At 40.7% G+C, this 21,406-nt stretch overlaps 1 protein-coding gene across 4 annotated transcripts in view, besides 3 other annotated features; it reads left to right on the top strand.

Annotated features, from left to right (window-relative positions):
* GPR19 (G protein-coupled receptor 19) overlaps positions 1-21,406 on the top strand; it is a 56,357-nt gene that overhangs the window by 27,852 nt on the left and 7,099 nt on the right. For 3 of the 4 annotated variants that reach the window (NM_006143.3, XM_011520623.4, XM_011520624.3), the window contains exon 3: positions 4,888-5,044. Coding sequence is in view for 3 of the 4 variants with exons in the window: in XM_011520623.4 (XP_011518925.1) it covers positions 5,039-5,044 (6 nt within the window). In the remaining variant the exon portion in view is untranslated. Of the gene's footprint in view, positions 1-462; positions 2,373-4,887; positions 5,045-21,406 lie in introns of all 4 variants that reach the window. The other variant, XM_047428741.1, reaches the window with a different exon arrangement.
* Positions 4,363-4,563: a silencer, noted in NCBI's record as "peak1575 fragment used in MPRA reporter construct". NCBI's record gives its function as "represses an SCP1 promoter by STARR-seq MPRAs in K562 erythroleukemia cells {active_cell/tissue: K562}" and the evidence as "EXISTENCE:reporter gene assay evidence [ECO:0000049][PMID:32103011]".
* Positions 12,169-12,997: an enhancer, noted in NCBI's record as "OCT4-NANOG hESC enhancer chr12:12829332-12830160 (GRCh37/hg19 assembly coordinates)". NCBI's record gives its function as "activates a minimal SCP1, AML or CMV promoter by ChIP-STARR-seq in primed H9 embryonic stem cells {active_cell/tissue: H9 hESC(primed)}" and the evidence as "EXISTENCE:reporter gene assay evidence [ECO:0000049][PMID:30033119]".
* Positions 15,919-15,978: an enhancer, noted in NCBI's record as "active region_6018". NCBI's record gives its function as "activates an Ori minimal core promoter by ATAC-STARR-seq in GM12878 lymphoblastoid cells {active_cell/tissue: GM12878}" and the evidence as "EXISTENCE:reporter gene assay evidence [ECO:0000049][PMID:35858748]".

The raw sequence follows: 21,406 nt of genomic DNA, 5'->3' as shown, positions 1-21,406 counted from the left end.
AGAGGGTACCTCCTGGCTTCATTCTGGACCTAGAGTATGCACTGAGGTACTTTCAAGTTTCCAGGATGACACCCTCATGCAGTTTGAATATATGTCCCTGCCAAATATCATGTTGAATTGTAATACCCGGTATTGGACGTGGGGCCTGGTGGGAGGTGTTTGGGTCGTGGGACAGATCCCTCATGTCTTGGTGCTGTTCTTACTATAGTGAGTGAATTCTCTTAAGATCTGCTGTATTAAGTGTGTGGCACCACCCCCAACTCTCTCTCTTGGTCCTGCTTTCGCCATGTGACATGCAAGCTTCTGTTTTACTTTCTGCCATAAGTAAAAGCTCCCTGAGGCCTACCCAGAAGCTGAGCAGATGTGGGCACCATGCCTCCTGTACAGCCTGCAAATGTGTACAATTAAACCTCTTTTCTTTATAAATTACCCAGTCTCAGGTATTTCTTCATTGCAATGCAGGAACAACCTAATACATACCCCTTGTCTGCCTGATCCCTGGGGAACATGCTGTCCTGTGATGCTGAAGCCTGCAGCTGGTGAACTCATGGTGAACTCGTGGCCCACCTTTGGATTCAGACAAATCTCCCAGGGAGTATTGGCCACCTCCCCTGGCAGACTCAGTACCCCTGGCCCCTGCTGTGGGGTTACCTTGTCTTGGTTGTGGCAGGCCTACTGGCTGTTAGTTCAGCATCATCCTTCAAGAGAACAGAAAGGCTTAGAATAATTGATTGTCATATCTGTGTCTGACCATGCTATTGTGGACTTGGCCTGAACAGCCATAGAAATGCAAGGAATGAGGTTTGAGGGACTTGGGCAGTTGTCTCAAAAAGGGAGTCAAGGCAGAAATCCCTTACCCTGAGCACTGCTCTCAACATGGAGGTAACTCACTGTGGTAGGCAGCCTTTTATTTCATGATTTGACTTTTTGATGAGTCCATGCTAGTTCTCTTGTAGAATATTATGCATTCTTGATTTGGCCAATTATTTCCTCATAATATCTTATAACTTGTTTCTCCAACCCTTGCCTTTTTATTAAAAAAAAAAACTCGACATTATATGTACAGATTTGATTATATTCGGGTTAAACATTTTTAGAAAGAATACTTCAGTAACATTGAGTAGGTTACATCATTTCATGTTAGGCACATAATTTCAGCTTGTCTCACTATTAGTAACGCTAAATTTGGTCACTTGGTTAAGATGATGACCCCCCCTCCCACTCTCTTCACTGAAAAAGGACACACATCCCTTTGCACTTTATAAGTAATCTACAAATAACCCGTTCAACAACTTTTCATCTTATACTTTGAACACCTTTTGTGATCTTTTCCTGAGTCAATTATTTCACTGGGGGTTGCAAAAATGGTGTTCTAACTATAGTAGTCTGTATTTATTAACTAGCATTTTTCTGTAAAGAAGAACTTTCTTTTTTTAAGAGACGGAGTCTAGCTCTGTCTCCCAGATTAGAGTGCAGTGGCACTATCAGAGCTCACTGAAGCCTCAACCTCCTGGGTGCAAGCGATTCTCCCACCTCAGCCTTCTGTGTTGCTGGGACCACAGGCACATGCCACCGTGCCTGGTAAGAGCGTTGTTTTAAGAAAACCATTTTAATGAATTTCTCAGTGGACCACTGGGTAGTGGTTTGTTTCCAATTTTGTTGAAAGCACTTGGAAAGCTCTTGATTTTTAAAAGGATTTGTTACCTAATTATTGGAGCTATTCACTTTCTCAGTACTATCCCCAATATTTTCAGTTATTCCTGTGTTTGGTCCCCAGGAGGTTTTTAAATTCAGACAACGCAGGATTTGAGGTAAAGGTGGAAGAGAGATTCAGCAATCTGTGTAAGATGGAAGAAAAGCTAAGTGGAAACCAAGAACCAGCATGACATCTCGACTGCACCAGTTCTCAGAAAAGCAGTTTTAGAATGCATACTTGTAGAAGTTGAGGATCTAGAAATTAGTTCCCATAAAACTCTGCATGCTTTGGGACCCCTTGGAAAGTTTTTACCTGAAGCCAGAGGTCTATAGTACAGAACACTGAGCAAAGTCTTCCAGGTTTGGTTGATGACAAGCTAAGGGCAGAAATAAAGGAATTTAGAGACTGGCTTTCAAAACAATAGCCTGGATTTCAAGCCTATTGTCTTGTTTCTATTTTGAATTTCAGAAGCCAAATATTAATTTCTTTTTTTCCATTCCTTTTGTAACATCTAAACAGTGCCAAAACACTATCTCCAAGGCAAATGGATTCCCCAGGCAGATGAGAAGATCACATTACTCATGTTCAAAATATTACCCCAGTTGCACAAGTATTGTGGAATTTTGTGCATTTGGATGGAAGACAACTGTTTCTTTATCTTCTTCCAATGTCAAAAGTAAATTTGGTGATTATAACTTTGGCAATATATTTTAAGCAGAATTAGTATATTATGTAACATGTTTTATGACCATCCTTAATAAAATTTTGGGTTATGACTCCTTACAAGATGATTTTAAATATCATTAAGCCATAATATATACATGCAGTCATCCTGGAAGGAATAAATATGTTGGTCATTTTTTTTGTCTCAAATAATTTAAAGCAATCTTTGTGATTTCTTATGTCAAGGGGCCATAGTAGTAAGTCACAACACATTAAATTGACCAGTTATTTTAATCTAGTCTACTATGCATGATGCAGAATAGCATAGTACACTATGCCTGCTCTGGAGGCTGAGTCAGTGGTTCCAAATCCTAGCTCCCACACTATGCAGCTTTGGGCACATTACTTATTCCCCCAAGCCTCCATTTCTTCATCGGTAAAACAGAAATGCCAGTAATAGTACTCATCTTGTTGGGTTGATAGGATTAAATGACATAATGTATGTAAACACCTGGCACATGTTAAATATTAGTTGTTCTTATTGTTGTAATTATTCTTGACTAAGAGAGGAGATGATATCCAAGTCACCAACCTGCTGACTCAAAGAATTTCTTCAATATCTAACTTTTTTGATAAATGAATTTTCTTAAAATGTCAAGTGTTAAAATTAACAGTTGAATTTCTCTGAGTCTTACATAGAAAAACTAGAATTAACCTCACTCCTCCTAAAATAAAAGTAGAAAATACGATGAGGATGTTGATCCAGGAAGGACCTTCAGTTTCTTGAAAATTATACTCCAGCTTCCTTGTGCCACCTCTTTGCTTACAAAGTTTTCATTTCTACACATTGCAAGTCAGCATTCGTCTTTCAAAAAATAAATATTCTGAATTGCTTTGGTTAGGATTCTGAGTTAGAAACAACAAGTTATATGCCAGTGTTATGAGACAAATGTATAGCCAGTTTGTATTTCTGACTTGGAGTAATCCAAATGCTATCCAAGTATTAATAAAATTTGTATTTATTTAAAATAATTTGACAACTCACATTTAAAAAATTGTCTTTTCTTCCATAGTGTTATAAAGAATCCACACATTGTTCCTAGCATCGACAGTCAGGTGTGGCTCTAAAGTATCTCCCAATTAAGGCTGTTAGGACTTAGATAATGGCTTCCCAAAAGTCAGATATTCTAACCTGAGGAGAAATTGATTTCTTGAGTTCTTTCCACCACCCTGTGATGGCATTTCAGGGTCAATCTGTGAAGCTGGAATTTTCATTCAGTTGCACCTAACTAGATTTTTAAGGAAAGAAGCAGTGGAGGATGGGGAGAGTAACTATTGCAGTGTCCATACTAATTCCTAGATTCCTTTCAAGATTTAGGACCGACAGCAATCCAATTTGGCTCTGAGAATACTGTTTAAATCCCTCCTCAGCAATTCAGTCCTTTTCCCTCTTCCTTTCTTTAGTCAGCAGGCTCCCATGGCGACCGGTTTTAAAAGAAATCATCCTCTTCAGCAGTTACCTAGCACCATGGCAACTAGGACGTCAGCAAAGCAGGATAGACCCTGCACAAAACAGCTCCAAGCAGGCTCCCTCCCTGCCTCTCCAGTTCAGCCCTGCCTGAGGCCTAGGGATGGGGCTAATGACATCTAGACTTGTACACCCCAGAATTCCTATGTGTTTCTGTGGTTTTCCCCATAAGCATAGATATTTGGGCATGCAGTAAACTATGTTACAGGAATCTCCCTCCCCCCCACCAAAAAAAAAAAAAAGACCATATTTAAAGAGTGAGGATGGGTGATGGGATGGGGACAGGGAGGTAGGTATGGGATGGTCTTTTGGGTTTAAGGAAATTTGAAAATTATGTTTGTGTTTATAAGGTAACAGTAAGCTGATAGTAGGGGAAGTCAGAGCCCTAAACATATGGTGTGGTTTATGTTTAGGCACAGGACCTCAGGGAAATTTTAAAAAATATTTTTATTTACTTGAGAGTGAAATAGACAAATGGCTTTAACAAGCACTTGAAGAGGGTGTAATGCTGTCCGTGGTGCTGAACGCTCCATTGTCCCAGATGTGTGCTAAGGGGGATCCAGAGGGGAGGTTAAGGAACACCTTGCCAGGTCAGGATACTGACTGTAAGAAAGAAAGAGAGGGGTTGAGGTTAAGAAAGCATCATTTATCTCCCATACTGAGCAACTCTGAATGGTCAGGATAAATCTTCAGATAGAAAAAAAAGAAAATAGAGAAGGAAGGAGGTTTGGGTGATTGAATCTTCCCCTTTTCATATGGAGATTTTTGGTCTGAGCCAATCAAGACAGAGATTTCTGCTGCTTTGCTCCTGAAAGGAAAAGTGGGGGAAGGGAGGGAGAAGATGGCCACATTCTCCCCTTCAGCCACATGATCCATTTCCCATGTGACACATTCCAGAGCCTTGGAAAGGAGAAGGGAGGGGCAACAAGAGAGTGGGGCTGGGGGCGGGAAGATGGTTTAACAGTCTACCCTGCACAGCGTCATCTTGTCTCCCTAACAGGAAGCAGGCTGTGAGCCAAGGGGAAGGCAGAGGACAGAAATGAATGTGTTTCCAGGCTTTCCTGGTGGTTTATGGCATTCTCCAAACTCCTATGCAAGGGCTATTCCTGACCAAGAAGATCTAAAGAGAACGTCTCTGAAATCAAGTCCGGATGAAGGTATGTGATAGGGATCCCTTGGTATTGCGACTGAAATTTGGCTCAGAGGACATAATGCCTTCTTTTTTTCCAGGCAATTTGGAGATTTTGTCCTGCCTTAGATGCTGGTTAGAGGCTTTAGGTTTGTTACCAGTCCAGAAAAGATGCCTAGGTAGTTCTGTAAAATGAAAATTCATCAGAGTATGTGTCAGTTGAAAAATTGGATGGAAATTGTGTATAGTGATAATTAATGAAACAAAGCACTCATTGATGAAAAGGATTTTTTCCCCTTGAAGCCTGGAAAGAGGGGAAAAAATTACCGAAACCAACTAGGTTTCATCATCACTGTAATAAAAGCTGTTTCATCCTTTTTCAGCTGCTTATTCTATGCCCATGTTCCCAGAGGTTATTGGCAGGGCTTGGGGAGCTGAAGTGGGCAGGCGTGCTGTTCCTTTGTGCTGTGTGATCATCTTCCTTCTGATGTTCCTGGAACCAGGGGTGCTTGTGATTGTTCCCAGCTCTGATTTAGGACAGTAGACTGCCACAGAATTTCACATCTTGTAGAAATGCTAGCAACAAGACCCTGGGGAAGTTCTCAAAGGAATCTACCAAAGTTACAGGCTAAAATAATCAGCCGTGAACTCAAATTTTCATGTCTTTGACTATTTTCAGCACAAAGAGAGGAGCCCCTTTAAATTTTATTTTGTCTTTATTTAACAAATACTTAAGAAAGTTCTTTCTAATGTGCAAGGCACTGTTCTAAGCACAAACAGTCATTGAATCCTTATAACAACCCTTTGAGGAAGGTTTTATTACCCACATTTTAGAGATGAAGAAACAGAGGCACAGAGAAGTTAGGGAACTTTCCCAAGGTCACACAGCTAGCAAACAGTAGAAGCAGAATTTGGACCTACGAAACTTGACCCCAAAGCCTGTGCTCTTAACCACTGAGCTATGCTGCTTGCCTGCTCATATTATTTCAAATGATGTCAGCAGTCAATTTGGCTTCAAATTTTGTTCAGCTGACGCTACTAGAAGATTGAATCAGCTTGCTTTGCTAAAACAGATCCCCAAAGAAATCTATATTTAATCTTAAATTATCCCTGTAGTCACATTCTGTACCCCCAAGTAACCCAGTAAGTAATTGCCGTTCTGTTTCCCTTGTGCTGTATAGATCTCTGTAGTAAAACGCTATGTTACTATGGTGACCAATTGATGTCTCAAGAAAAAAGAAATCTAGAATTATATCATGGGTTTTTTAAAAAATCGAACGTAGAAACACTCTTCCATCCTAGAACCTAGCAAGGCCAGCCTAAGCATATTTTCTTTAAAAGCACCTACCTAGTTCTCAAAATAAAATAGATTAAAAACTTCTAAAACTATGTATATAAATTATAATATCAAACTGACTGGATTTATTTTTTAAAATGATATTATACCTAAAATAAGGGAATAGGTATCTTTTGCAAATTATTTTAGGTTTTTAAGGGTAAAAGAGGAGATTTGCTAATAACTTTTTTTAACTGCTAGAAATTTCTGAGGTATAAAGATTTCCTTTTTTTGATCTGTGTAGATTTCCTTCTGGCCTTTGATAATAAAAGATGACTGATCTGATTCCTATAAGCTATGGAAAAACTAAGAAAAGTTACCAGTTCCCTTCAGGGTTTCATTGCGCAGTACTTTAAGACGTAATTGTGTCCCCTACAATATTGAACTTTAGTCTTTTAGCTTAAGCATTTGATCCCTGCTGAAATCTACATTTTTCTGGAACAAGTAACACTTTGATGCTATTATAGTCACATGAAGTGAGCTTCTTGAGGGATGGTATCCTTTCCTCTTTGGATTTCTAGCACTTATCACCAGGCCTGGTTTATGGTGAACTCTCAATATACTCTTGTGAATGAAGACTGAGAAGACTCAAAACAATGACATATTCTGCTGGTGCCAATTTGGGAGTCCATGCCTGTTTTATTTTGCATGTATTTATAGAGAGGACAGTGAGGAGACACATGTGTAGTAAGAACTTGGCAACAGTCAAAATTATGCCTGAAGTTTATATAGTTAGGCTGGCCCTGGAGCAGCTACAAATTACAGTTTAGAAAGTATACATAAATTATTTCCTGGAGATCACCAATCCCCCTGACATTTTTATTTATATTTAGAATGAAGTTCTCCTGATATTTTCATTCATATCTAAATGGAAGCACCCCTAACAGTCTTATTTTCCTCTGATGTTTTGGGTGGTTCCATCTCCCAGCGTTGAAACAGTTTAATTCAGTTTGAGAGTGAATGTCTTGAGAAGTCAACTCCTGCCTCAGGCAATTCTCTCCTAATCCAGTCTGACTCCCAGTCCTTAGAACTCTGTATAGAAAGCTCACAGGACTGCAGGACTATTTCCTAGGGAACTCTGGGATCTTGAGTATCAGTGTGGGTTAGGGTCAGACTACCTTTCCCAAACCATGGCATGATTGAAGAAGATTGTCCTGAATGAAGAAGATTTTCCTGGGGCATTTTGAAAGCTTGGTCAGGATTTAAATTCAAGTTAGCAAGATAGTAAGGCTTAAAGTAGTCACCCTCCTGATAATATACACAAACATAATCTATGATTTTTCCATCTAATTAAATCATTAAGGGGTTGTGGATAAAGTGTGTGTCCTTGAATTCTACCAGCTCATGCTGCTCACCTCAAACATTACCTGCTGAGCGAGCTGCACAAAACAGACAACAGCCCTGACGGAAGCACAAACCAGCTGGCAAGTGCTACATGCCCCCCACACATGCAGGGCTTCTCAGATAAGCAGGGCTAGCACACACATGAGGCATGGATCTGGAAGCCTAGCTGGGCTTCCTACACATCCCTCTGGAGTCTAAAAGGGGGCAACCTACTCAACCAGCTAAATGGGAGGATAGAACAGAGGGAGAGAAAGTGGAGAGGCTTCCCCTTGAGGAGAGGCCTTGCCAAGTATGATTTCAACCTAGAGGTGAGGGGTGAAAGCAGAAATAAGAAGAGGGACAATGAGCATGGGTAAAGACTATGAGAAAGTGATACCTGGGTCCTGCCTTTCGGACACAACAGCTTGCCTGCAAGTAAACCCTGCCAAATGAGTCAGGGCCTGCCAGGGGAATGATCAGATCCCTTCCTAGGGTGTATGTAGGGAGGGGAGAGGAGAGAGAAGGACCAGAGTGTGGACGTAGTTTCTTCTCCATCAGCCAAGGCAAAAAATTGGATGACATGGGAGTTGTGCTGAGAGGATGGCTTAAAAAGAAAAAGGGAGGCTGAGTGCCATAACTCACGCCTGTAATCCCAGCACTTTGGGAGGCTAAGGCGGGAGGATTGCTTGAGCCCAGGAATTTGAGACCAGCCTAAACATAGGGAGACCTTAGGCCAGGCATGGTTGCTCACGCCTGTAATCCCAGCTGTTTGGGAGGCTGAGGGGGGCAGAATACTTAAGGTCCGGAGTTCTAGGCCAGCCTGGCCAACATGCTGAAACCCCATCTCTACTAAAAATACAAAAATTAGCTGGGTATGGTGGCAGGTGCCTGTAATCCCAGCTACTTGGGAGGCTGAGGCAGGAGAATCGCTTGAACCCGGTAGGTGGAGGTTGCAGTGAGCTGAGATGGTGCCACTGCTCTCCAGCCTGGGTGACAGAGCAAGACTCTGTCTCAAAAAAAAAAAAGTCATAGGGAGATCTACAAAAATAGCTGGGTGTGGTGGCACACACCTGCGGTCCCAGGTCCTCGGGAGACGGAGGTAGGAAGATTGCATGGGCCTGGGAGGTTGAGGGTGCAGTGAGCGGTGATCACTCCACTGCACTCCAGCCTGGGTGACAAAGCAAGACCCTATCTCAAAAAACAAAAAATAAAAGGCAAAAGGGCAGTTACCATCATGAATATGTTTCCCTGTTTGTGGAGTCATTTTCCCTTGGCCAAACCTTTAAAGCAGTCATCTCCTGGAGCCTTTCCTTTGGTATACTCTCCCAGACACTGCATGTCTGTCATGTTTAATTCTCATAGCAACTCTCTATGATATGCATTATTAGCCCCAATTTTAGCTGAGGAAACTGAAGCTCAAAGAGATTAACTTACCTATTCAATGTCCACAGACGGCAGGTAGAGTCAGGATCTGAATCCAGGTCTTTTTAATTCTGTGCTCTTTTTACTATATCACAAATAAAGTTCTTTTATCTGCATTCTTTTAAAACATGTTTTTGGATATTAGAGTAATACAAATATCATTCTAGAAAATTTGGAAAATATAAAGCAGTATAAAAGGATAATGAAAATAAAAATCAGTTGTGATCTTGCCACCTAGAAACAATCACTGTTAAAATGTTGGTGTATTTCTTCTCAATTTTTTTTCAATGCATATAATGAAAGCAAAAGCAAATATTTGTTGAGCACTTGCTTTGTTCCAGACATTGTCCTTAGCTCCTTTCTTGTGTAATTTATTTTATTATCATAGAAAATCAATAAAGTGAGTATTGTTATTATTTATTCTAATTTTATTGTTGAAGACACCCAATAAGCACAAACATGTAAAATAATTTACCAACAGCTACACAGATTATAAGTGACTTGAACCCCAGGCAGGCTGACTCTAGAGCAGGCTTTCTCAACCTTAGCACTATTGGCATTTGGGGCCAGATAATTCTTTGTCGTGGTGGGGGTCGGGGAATGTCCTTGTCATTGTAGTGTTTTGGGCTTTTTTTTTTTTTCCAGAGACAAGGTCTCACTCTGTCACCCAACCTCGAGTGCAGTAGTACACTCATGGCTCACTGCAGCCTGAAACTCCTAGGTTCAAACTCCTAGGGCTAACATACCCTATCTTGTGCTTGTTAGTTTTTTCCCTTTAGGTCTATGATAGTCCCACCTCAACCTTCCAAGGAGCTGGGACTGTAAGCATGCACCACCATGCCCGGCTAATTTTTTTTTTTTTTTTTTTTGATAGAGACAGGGACTCACTATGTTGCCCAGGCTTGTCTTAAACTTCTGGCTTCAAGTGATGCTCCCACCCCAGCCTCCGAAAGTGCTGGGATTACAAGCATGAGCCACTGTGCCCAAACCATTGTAGAATGTTTAGCAGCATCCTTGGCTTCCACCTACCAGATGTCAGTAACACTTCCCTCTCTCAGACATGACAACTAAAAATGTCTCTAGACATTTCCAAATGTTCACTGTGAGGCAGAATTATCTCTGATTGAGAACCACTAGTCTAGAACCTGTGCTCTCAGCCACCATACTATATAGCCTCTTCATATTAAAAATGCACATAAAGAGCCAGACACGGTGGTTCATGTCTATAATCCCAGTACTTTGGGAGGCTGAGGTGGGCAGATCACTCGAGGTCAGGAGTTTGAGAACAGCCAGGGCAACATGGCGAAACCCCATCTCTACAAAAAATACAAAAATTAGCTGGGCGTGGTGGCGTGCACCTGTAATTCCAGTTACACATGAAGCTGACGCACAAGAATCTCTCCAACCCAGGAGGCAGAGGCTGTAGTGAGTTGGGATGACACCACTGCACTCCAGCCTTGGTAACAGAGTGCGACTCTGTCTCAAAATAAAATATTAGGCTGGTGCGAAAGTAATTGCAGTTTTTGCCATTACTTTTCATGGGAAAACTGCAATTTGTTTTGCACCAACCCAATAAAGTAAAATAAAGTGAAATAAAATGTACATAAAGTTATTTTGTTCTATATCCAAAGAGAGAAATAAATCTTCAAATTGGGGGCAGGCCGTGAAACTTTGCTGGAATGTCAATAGTGACTTTATGGATCAAGAAAAGTGCTCATTAGTAGATTCTTATTAAATGCTTATTAGTAGACTCGGAGAACTAGTTATAAGCTCACAGTTGCCCAGCAGAGAGAATAAGTGCACTTTTCTCTCTTATTACCTTTCTCTGGTTCTCTGTGCCAAGCACCTTAGCCTTCAAGAATTTAGATTTCATGTTATACTTGTGGCATATCAGGACCGTGCATATCAACAAAGGTGTCAAAATATATTGCTATGTCCTAAACAGAGCATGTTGCAAATAACTGCTTACTAATAAATAATCATTGGTTTTTTTAAATTAATTGGAATAAATTTAAGGGTATATACATAACAATATTTTTTTCAGTATGATTTCTTAGATGGAGATTAAAGGGTTGGAATTACAGGTCGAGCTCCTAGAATTGCACATAATTCTGGATATATGGGGGTATATCACACATATGAACACATTTGTGATGTGTCTCTGAAGAAGAAAGGTTGAAAATTGCTTCATAGGTGATTTTTTTTTTTTTTTTTTTTTTTTTTTGAGACAGAGTCTCGTTCTGTCACCCAGGCTGGAATGCAGTGGCACGATCTCAGCTCACCGCAACCTCCGCCTCCCAGGTTCAAGTAATTCTCCTGCCTCTGCCTCCTGAGTAGTTGGGATTACAGGCGCCCACCACCACGCCCAGCTAATTTTTATATTTTTAGTAGAGATGGGGTTTCACCATGTTGGTCAGGCTGGTTTCGAATTCCTGACCTCAGGTGATCCACTCGCCTTGGCCTCCCAAAGTGCTGGGATTACAGGCGTGAGCCACCCTGCCTAGCCAGCATAGGTGATTTGAGTCAACGATTACTGAAATGCAGAGAGGATTGAATTAAGAAGCACTGAGAAATGATCATTTATAAACTGTCTAATATACTGAATATATATATTATCCATGTGAAATATATGAAAATACATGTTCAGCCATGTTTTCATATAGTCACATAATTTGTCCATGAAAAAATACATGTTAATGCGATATTAAATTTAACATCTGTGGCCAGGCGCAGTGGCTCATGCCTGTAATCCCAGCACTTTGGGAGGCCAAGGCGGGTGGATCACTTGAGGCAAGGAGTTCAAGACCAACCTGGCCAACATGGTGTAACGCAGAATTGAAAATTCTCAAATAATAGAGCAAATATACAAATATAAGTGGAAAGACTTTCATTTTTCATTTTCCATGTCTACTAAAAATACAAAAATTAGCTGCACGTGGTGCACATGCCTGTAATCCCAGCTATTCAGGAGGCTGAGGCATGAGAATCGCTTCAACCTAGGAGGCAGAGGTTGCAGTGAGCCAAGATCGCACTACTGCACTCCAGCCTGGGAGACAGAACGAGACTCTGTCTCAAAAAAAAAAAAAAAAAAAATTAACATCTGCTTCATAAACTTGAAGGTTGCTTTCTAGAAAACCCTGACTGAGGACAGTGGTACAGATCAAAATTTACCCGGAATGTTGATGTGAATAAGATGTGAGACAGAAGGTGAATGCTCCTGAGAAATAATGCTTAGTAACTTCCTGCTCAGTGCTTATACTCGCTTCTTAACAAGTCCTTCACCTCCTTTTCAAATAGCTGTAAATCTCAACTACTTCGTTGTTCTTTGCTTTGACTTTAGTAAGTCTAGTCTTTGCCTCTTGATACTGAAGTCAGAACTTAGAAATGAAACCAAACATTTACCTCCAAAACAACTGGTTCCCACTAACTCAATGAGCACACAGCAGGTGTTCAAAAAATGTTTGCTGTAGTGAATTGAATTTAGTGAGGTGCAAATTCCTTGGCCAAATTGTTTTCTTCAGAATTTGAAAGACCTCATACTGGGAAGAAACGTGTAGAAACTGACAGAGGACACTCGGGGGTTCTAGAAATGTGTCTCTTCTCTGAGAGGTTTGGTATTAGATAGAATGGAAAGCAAACACAGGTGGCAGGTCCTCTTTGACCAGACCACTTCTTGCAAGGAATCTTCAGTAAGAAGTTGTTGACACATCTAGGATAATTACTGTGGAAAGCTGGGCTGGACCCTAGGTAAAATTCATCTTTCCTTTGGAGACCCATGCTACTGATCCTTGATATCAAAAACTCTCAGTGCTGGGCCCCAGCAGCCCTAAACAACTTCCCTCTCCTCCCATCAAAATGCACTCTCAGGATGAGCTCTCTGCCAGATGAAAGTGGTGGGTTATAAATTAAATTAGCTCATCTCAGATAACAATGTCCACCTGTCACTTTTTGCTCATAGAGCTGAAATGACCTTAGAAATCATCTAGGCCAACTCATGCATATTGTAGATATGGAAACAGAGGTTCAAGGAGGTTGATTTACTTAAGGTCCTTATGCTGAAATAAAAAATAAGACCGGGGTCTCTTGACTTGTTCAGTGCTTATAATCAGAATTAGAACCCAGGTTTCTTAGCCCCCAGCCCAATGTGTAAGGTGAAGTAGAAAGCACTATACTCTTTAAGATTTTTGGTTTTCTAATATTTCAGGTGCTAGTAGGGTATTAGAAGGTGATAGAATGACTGGTATGAATTTTAGTACTCAAATTAAATTATATAAGAAATGCTACATTGAATTAGTTTCTATTGCTGCTGTAACAAGTTAACACAAATTTAGTGGCTTAAGATAACACTGTTTATTATCTCACAGTTCTGTACATCAGAAGTCTGGGTGGGTTTGGCTGAGTTCTCTGCTTAGAGTCTCCCAGGGCTAAAATCAAGATCTTAGCAGGACTGTGATCCTTTTTAGAGGCTCTGAGGTTGACTGCCCTTCCAGGCTCAGTCAGGTTGTTGGCAGAATCCGGTGCCTTGTGGTTGTAAGACTAAGATCCTATTTCCTTGATGGCTATCAGGTGGGAGCCATCATACCTCCTAGAGGCCTCATCCTGGTCCCTCTATGTGGGCCCCTGCATCTCAGAGCCTGCAATAGCATGTCAATTCTTTCTCATGCTTGGAGTCTCTCTGACTTCTCCTGCTGCTGCCAGAGAAAGTTCCCTGCATTTAAGGGCTCATGTGCTTAGATTGGGCCTACCTGGATAATCCAGGATAGTCTCCCCACTTTAAGGTTCATAACCTTAATTATTATGCAGAATCCCTTTTGCTATATAACATAACACATTCACAGGTTCCAGGGATTAGGGCATGGATATCTTTGGGGAACCATTCTGCCTACTACTCACATTATTTCCTTTAAATAACGGCAAGGCTCTATCCTACCAGGCTGATGGGAACATCAATGGCAAACATTACTGAGACTCTCTTCCCCTTCCTAGGTCCTGGGGTTCTTACACAGAACAAAATCTATGGGGATACTTTGTTCCTCTCGGCTCCACTTATCCCTCTTTCTCTCTAACCTGCTCCCCACGTGATGATTTAGGTTCTTTTGTCTATAAAAAAACCTCTGAATTGCTTCCAGGACAACAGACTATCACAACAGTCCTAAGTCCAGGCCTCAAGGAGCCTAGAACGTTGTTAAGGACCTGGAACACGGCTGGGACCCAAGGCGGCATGTTGGCTAGACTCTCTTGTCATCTGTCAGCAGCAGGGGTCCTGGAGGGTCTACCTTAGATGAGCCATTCTTCATCATCTCTGCTGCTGCTTCCATTGCCTCCCTGACCCCAGCCCAGGGGAGGGTCCTCACCATGCTCTCTTATAGCAGCCTACTCTTCTTTCATTGGACTTACTACAACTTAATACATTCATTTCTTCTTATCTGTTTACTACTCTCTACCCCTCTACAACTAATTATACTAGATCTTCATGAGGGTAGGGATACAGTTTGGTTTACCATTGTATATCTAATTATTAACATAGTACATTCTGGAGTGTAGTATGATCTTAGTGTATATTTATGGAGTGATGAATGAATTGATTCAAATGGGCACAGGTTTTCAAAAGAGATTTTTCCAAATGTACATATTCAATAGCCAACTGATATCTCTACGTGGATATCTAGTGGGAATTTAACTTGTGTATAGTAGTATTACTGATTTCAAGCTCCCTAAACTTTTTCTCTCTTGCTCTCAGGCTCTCAAAACTAGGGGTCATCCCCATTCCCTAACCCCATCACATATAAACTAATCTTGTTGGCTCTGTCTCCATAATATTTTCAATATTCATCTACTTTTCTCCACCTACACTGCCATCACCCTGGTCTAAGCCACCATCATCAGCAGTGGTGTGATCACAGCATCACAGCTTACTGCAGCCTCAACCTCCTAGGCTCAAGCAGTTCTCCTGCCTCAGCCTCCCAAGTAGCTGGGAGCCTCCCACCACAACCAGCAAATTTTTACTTTTTTTTTTTTTTTTTGGTAGAGATAGGGTCTGACTATGTTGCCCAGGCTGTAATAGCCTTTTTTTTTTTTTTTTTTTTTTGAGACAAAGTCTGGCTGTCGCCCAGGTTGGAGTGCAGTGGTACAATCTCGGCTCACTGCAACCTCCGCCTCCCAGGTTCAAGTGATTCTCCTGCCTCAGCCTTTCGAGTAGCTGGGATTACAGGCACTCACCACCATGCTGGGCTAATTTTTATATATTTAGTACAGACAGGATTTTGCCATGTTGGCCAGGCTGGTCTCGAACTCCTGACCTCAAGTGATCCACCTGCCTCGGCCTCCCAAAGTGCTGGGTGTAATAGCCTGTTAACTATTCTCCCTGCTTCTATGCTTGGCCACCTACACAGCAACTAAAGTTGTATTTTTAAAACATAAATGTGCGTGAGGGGGTTAAAAAAAATGGCATATTCATTTCACTCCTTTGCCTGAAACCTGCGATGAATTTTCCTTCAATAGACTAAAACCATGCCCTACAATGCCCTGTGTCATCCTACCTTTGCCCACCTTTCCGGTTATATCAGGTATCATTTTCTTTGGTATTCATATGCTGTAGCCACATAACAAGCTCATTCCTACACCAGGGTCTTTGCACTCATCATTTCTTCTGCCTGAATGTTATGGCGGACTTCCTGTCGTTGGGGTTTCAGCTGCCATATAACCTCTTCAGAGAACCTTTCTCTAACCACTCCATCTAAAACCAGACCCTGTTTCAGACAGGGTGCTTTCAGAGATGAGTAACAAAACTCAAAGTGGCTTAAGCCATAAAGACATTGTTTGCTTACTTAGTAAGTCTGGAGGTGAGTGTCCTAGCAGCACCACAGTGTCAGGGCACTATGTCCCGGTGAGTCTCAGGACTTCCCCTGACCTCAGAAGATACCACCCAGTGCCCTGACATCTTCATGTGACAGTTTACAGTGGCAAGAAGCAGAGAGGCAGTCAGGCCCATGAGAATACTCACTACACACCTCTTTCCTTTTATCAAGGAAGAAACATTTTTCCAAGAACCTCCCAACACCCTGCCAGGAGACTTTCTCTTGTCACTGGCCAGAAGAAGATTATATTGATGTGACCACACCTAACTGAAAGGGATGGTGGGGAAATTATTATCTTACCTTTTTAGCCTCTTAAGAGGCAGGAGAGGGAGGAGTTGGGAATGGTCATTGGGTAACCAGCTAACCAGCCATCTGCCATTCCATTTCCCGTCAATTCTTGGTCCCTCATTCTGTTTTCTTTTTCTACATAGCACTAATCATTTCTGAATTATTGACATTTTTATTTGTTTAGCTGTTTATTATTTGTTTCCCATGTTAGAAGTAAGCTCCATAAAAACAGGGATCTTGTCTGTCTAGTTATTATAATGTCTGTGTCCCCAGCAATGAACACAACTCTGGCCACACTAAGTGATCTTTTTAAAAAATGGATAAATGTTATGATTGAAGACTATTTTGCATATGCCATCATAACAAAATGGTCATTTCTTAGGGTGAATTTTTTTTTTTTCTTTTTGAGATGGAGTCTTGTTCTGTTACCCAGGCTGGAGTGCAGTAGTACAATCTTGGCTCACTGCAACCTCCGCCTCCGGGGTTCAAGCAATTCTCCTGCCTCAGCCTCCCAAATAACTGGGATTACAGGCACCCACCATCACGTCTGGCTAATTTGTGTATTTTTAGTAGAGATGAGTTTTCACCATGTTGGCCAGGCTGGTCTCAAACTCCTAACCTCAAGTGATTCACCCACTTCGGCTTCCCAAAGTGCTGGGATTATAGGCATGAGTCACCACACCCAGCCAGGGTGAAATTTTTTTGCACTTGTTTTTTTTACATTGTATCTTACTTTTCAGATTTTGTGTGAATGTAGGGAGGTAGGGAAGTTCAGTATTAAACCTGCAGCTGTGTCCTGTATACACGGAACTCTACTAAGCTACTAAGCAGCAGTTGGGAAGAGAAATATTAGATAGTATTCTTTATACATCCGTGGGGGTGGTCACCCCCAAAGAGATGCCAACACGACCTAACATTTTTGTCATGCAACATTGTTTACAAGGAATTAGGGGAGGACTGCAGCCTGTGGTCAACTTAAACCTTCATGTGGGGTAAAGCTCAGGCTCCTTTCTGTTTTATTCCTTTGGGTAGGGTAGCTACCAGTGGTTATCCATTCCTTCACAAAACTGTCAAGGAGGTGAAGTTTATCTTCTTCAACTTCACCTTTCACCCTTCACCCGGCCCTTCTCATAATGACACCCCATCTTAATTCTCTCAGTTACTGATGGTCCTCACGGCTTTTGCTTTTGGCATCTCTTCTGTTTTCATTTTCACTAATCGTAGATTTCAGAGATAGAATGAATAGGTCTCAGAAATCACTACTGATAAAATATAAAACTGAAAAAAATGTACAACTGGTCTTTAAGAAACATTTATATTTTAATAGGGATCTTCACTTTAAAGGATGATGCTGTAATTGTGAGAGAGGTTGATTTTTTGAATTCATGTGAAGGGTAAAGAAAGAGGCAAATGTGATAGGAGAGTAATAGTCCCTTAAATCTACATAGGCAGAATTTCTGAGCCAGGAATGTTCATGGTTGTTTTAAGCTATTTTGTGAAGTTAGAAGAAGCTGTTTTGAAAACATCTCTGTTTAAAAAAAAATTATGTTCCCATGAAAGCATATCGAGTTTCCAAACAAAAAGAAAATATACCCAGTCTGAGCTTGAGAAACTGCTTGATGCCAGTTAGGAAACAGTTTGAAAGGTACAGAGCTGGATTATTATGGAGGAATACTTATATATATTATATAAAAGGAGGAAAGGAAAAAGACCAGTAGAGAAAATTCCAGGCCTATAAGCTTGTGGCACCAGGAGTTTCAGGTGGTGGAAAGAAGCTCTGTTTTCATTGGTGTGAGGTTCTTTTGCAATTATTTAAAATATCTAATGGAAACAATTTTTTTTTTTTTGAGAGGGAGTCTCACTGTGTTGTCTGGGTTGGAGTGCAGTGGTGTAATCTCAGCTCACTGCAACCTCTGCCTCCCTGGTTCAAGCAATTCTCCTGCCTCAGCCTCCCTAGTAGCTGGGATTACAGGCACCAGCCGCCACACCCGGCTAATTTTTTTTTTTTTTATTTTTAGTAGAGATGGGGTTTCACCATGTTGGCCTGTCTGGTCTTAAACACCTGACCTCAGATGATCTGCCCACCTCGGCTTCCCAAAGTGCTGAGATTACATGCCCAGCCTCTAATGGAAATAATTTAAGCAGAATAGATTCTATGGGCTTTTGAAAAAGGCGTATTCAATCCAGTTGTATTATGTATTTTGATGTAGGATACCTTAAAAAGTTTGATCTGGACAACATGTCACATAAAATCATCCACAACTTGGAGAAAATGTGTTTATTTATTTGGCCTCAATGATTTCCCCCTTAAAAACATTGTTGTAAATGATGATTAGGTACCCAGGCCCCTTCACAAAAGCCATTTACCCTTGACAAAGCTAAATTATGTGACCAATGTTAGTATTATTACTATAGTATGTGATGTGTAATATGGTTACTAAAATTTGTTTGTCATATGGTTTAAAAGACTAATTTTTGAAGCAGTTGCTTTGTTCCAGACACAGAACTAGGTGTTTTGTAGAACTGTATATAAAAATAACACCTGTTGTTTTCCTCATACCAGGCAGATGCACATGTATTAACTCATCTAAGTCCTGTGTATATTCTCTCATCTAGTTATAATAATCAAATGAGATAGGAACTGACTATCTTCATTTTACAGAAGAAAACTGGAGCTCAAGAGGGTTAGGTAACTTGCCCAAGGTCACCCAGCTAGTGAGTGAGTGACAGGAATAGGATGCAACTGACTTCAAAGCCTACATACATATCCACTTTGCAGTATGCCTACACTGTGAGATTTAAAACATGAGATTTTTTTAGCAGAAGATTACATTCTGGGTGTAGGTTTGCCAGATTTAACAAATGAAAATACAGGACACCAGTAAAATGTTGCATGGGATATTGCATGGGACATACTTTTACAAAAAAATTATTTGTTATTTATCTGAAATTCACATTTACCTGGGCATCCTGTATTTTATCTAGCAACCTCATCTGAGTCGACATTGTAAGAACATGTCTCACCCTCTCTGATTTTCCTGTTACCCCACACAGTCATGCTGGTGGCTACCTAGCCTTATGTAGTTTTATAAATCACCTAATGTTCATATCAGTCTTTTCTCAGCTGGGCATGGTGGTTCACACCTATAATCCCAGCACTTTGGGAGGCCAAGGCAGGAGGATTGCTTGAGCCCAGGAGTTCAAGACCAGCCTGGACAACATAGCAAGACCTCATCTCTATAAAACACACACAAGCACACATACACCAGAGTCTTTATCTCAAGGCCACACAGCAAGAGAGTCAGTTAGGAAGCTTCAGAAGAGCTTGTGTGGCCTCCTGAGCCATTTTTAAGTTCAGCAATGTGTGTAAGTTCAGGACTTAGGATAGGCTGCCCTGAAAGCCCTGCCCTACTGGAAGTGGTGTGCGGGTAAATGTTTAACAACTGGCTCTGCAGAGGGGGGAAAAAAACAAAACTTCAATTTTTGGTGTTTGCCATACTCCTACCATGGCTGCTTCATGATGCCAACATGATGTCTTTGAGCCTGGAGTTGGGAAGAAATGTATATACAGTTGGCTCAGGGTTCCCTATGTAAGCCAGTCCCAGCCCACTAGTGTTACAGGCATTTCTCATTTTCACATGTAAACAAATCAAGCCTACACAACAATGAAGGGTTTACCTTAAAATCTCCGTACCGTGGTATTTCTTGAATTTAAACAACTAAAATTTTAAAAGATAATTTCCTACTTGGGATAATACAATTGATCAAATTTTTTCCTCATTTCAATTCAAATTGAAGTCTAGAATTCTGCTTTCATTCTGTTTAAAAGGCAACAGTTAATTATGCAGCATGTTGAAATGCCAATACTCTCACACTCTTTATTCTGAAGAAAGGCTATTTCTCCAGGCCAGCATGTCTGGCGCACTTTTGATGCTAAGCTTCTGTGCAGTGCGTTGTGGGAGTGATCATTTTTTAAAACTGTTCACTATGTCACATATTTCTGAGCTAGCATATTGAACAGATGTATCTGTGGGTAGGCAAGAGGCTATAGGGAATAACTTTGTATTCCTCTCTTTGAATGAATAGTCAAGAAAGACTTACCCATGTACAGCCAATTTGACTCTCTGAATTCAGATCCAGCCCTCTGTGGTCTCACTGGTCAGGAAACCCTGATGGTAGTTAAGAGCAAGGGCTTTGGAGTGACCACTTTCCAACGGTATGACTTTGGGGAAGAACTTCAGTTTTTTTCATTTGTAAAACAAGGCCAGTAATTTTACCTACTTTGAGGGGTTACACATATAAAGTGCCTGGCACATAGTAAGCACAAAAATAAGTATTAACTCTTGGTAGTATTAATGCTATAACTACTGTCATGATTGTAATCTTACTGCTCATTAGTAAATACCCATATGTATCCATGTAGGTCCAGCAGATACTTCCCATTCTACAGAAAATGTTTCTGTTTTTTTTTTTCAACCAAATCATGTAAAAAATCAATATTATAAAAATTCTTGTTTGACATTAAATTTTTAAACAAATCTCAAGAAATAAAAATGGTCTTTATACCTTGTGAGAATGTTTGTGAATCTTTATAATCTCAAGAGGACAAAAAGTTAGTTGTTAGGGTATTTTTAGACTTAAAAAATAGACTAACTAAAAAACCTATCCAACAGTTGATGCAGAATTGTGAAGCAAAGTTTGTCATCCATGCCCCATTCCTCTCTGTGGTCCTCCGCTCCCTCTTATTAGCTTCCAGTCATTCATCCATCCATTGCATCCAACAAAGTATGATTTTCAAAAAGTTAGAATCATGACTTTTACAAATATTGAATGAACATATGTTAAAGATTTATTAACATAATACCGAAGGAACCAATGATATAATAAAGCTGGTTCCAAGAGCATTTGAAGAATGCATCTTTATAGGCATTTTTTAAAAAGAATTTCAGCATAAGATTGCTAGGTAAACACTAAACTGGCTAATGTCCTAGAGGGCAGTAAGTCCATAACCTTTGGGGTTATTATTTTCTGCTAGAAAGAAATCTACAAGTTAACATATAAATATCTTCACAATGTCTCAGCTCTAGTCAAATATTAAATAGCAAAGTCAAGCACAGGTACATTCTCCCAGAGAGAGAGGCCCATTTAAGAATGTCCCAGCAAG

Source organism: Homo sapiens, chromosome 12 (genome assembly GCF_000001405.40).
Source record: "Homo sapiens chromosome 12, GRCh38.p14 Primary Assembly".
Classification (NCBI taxonomy): Eukaryota; Metazoa; Chordata; class Mammalia; order Primates; family Hominidae; genus Homo; species Homo sapiens.
The sequence above is the reverse complement of the archived record's forward strand: the minus strand, read 5'-3'. Positions and strand labels throughout refer to the sequence as shown.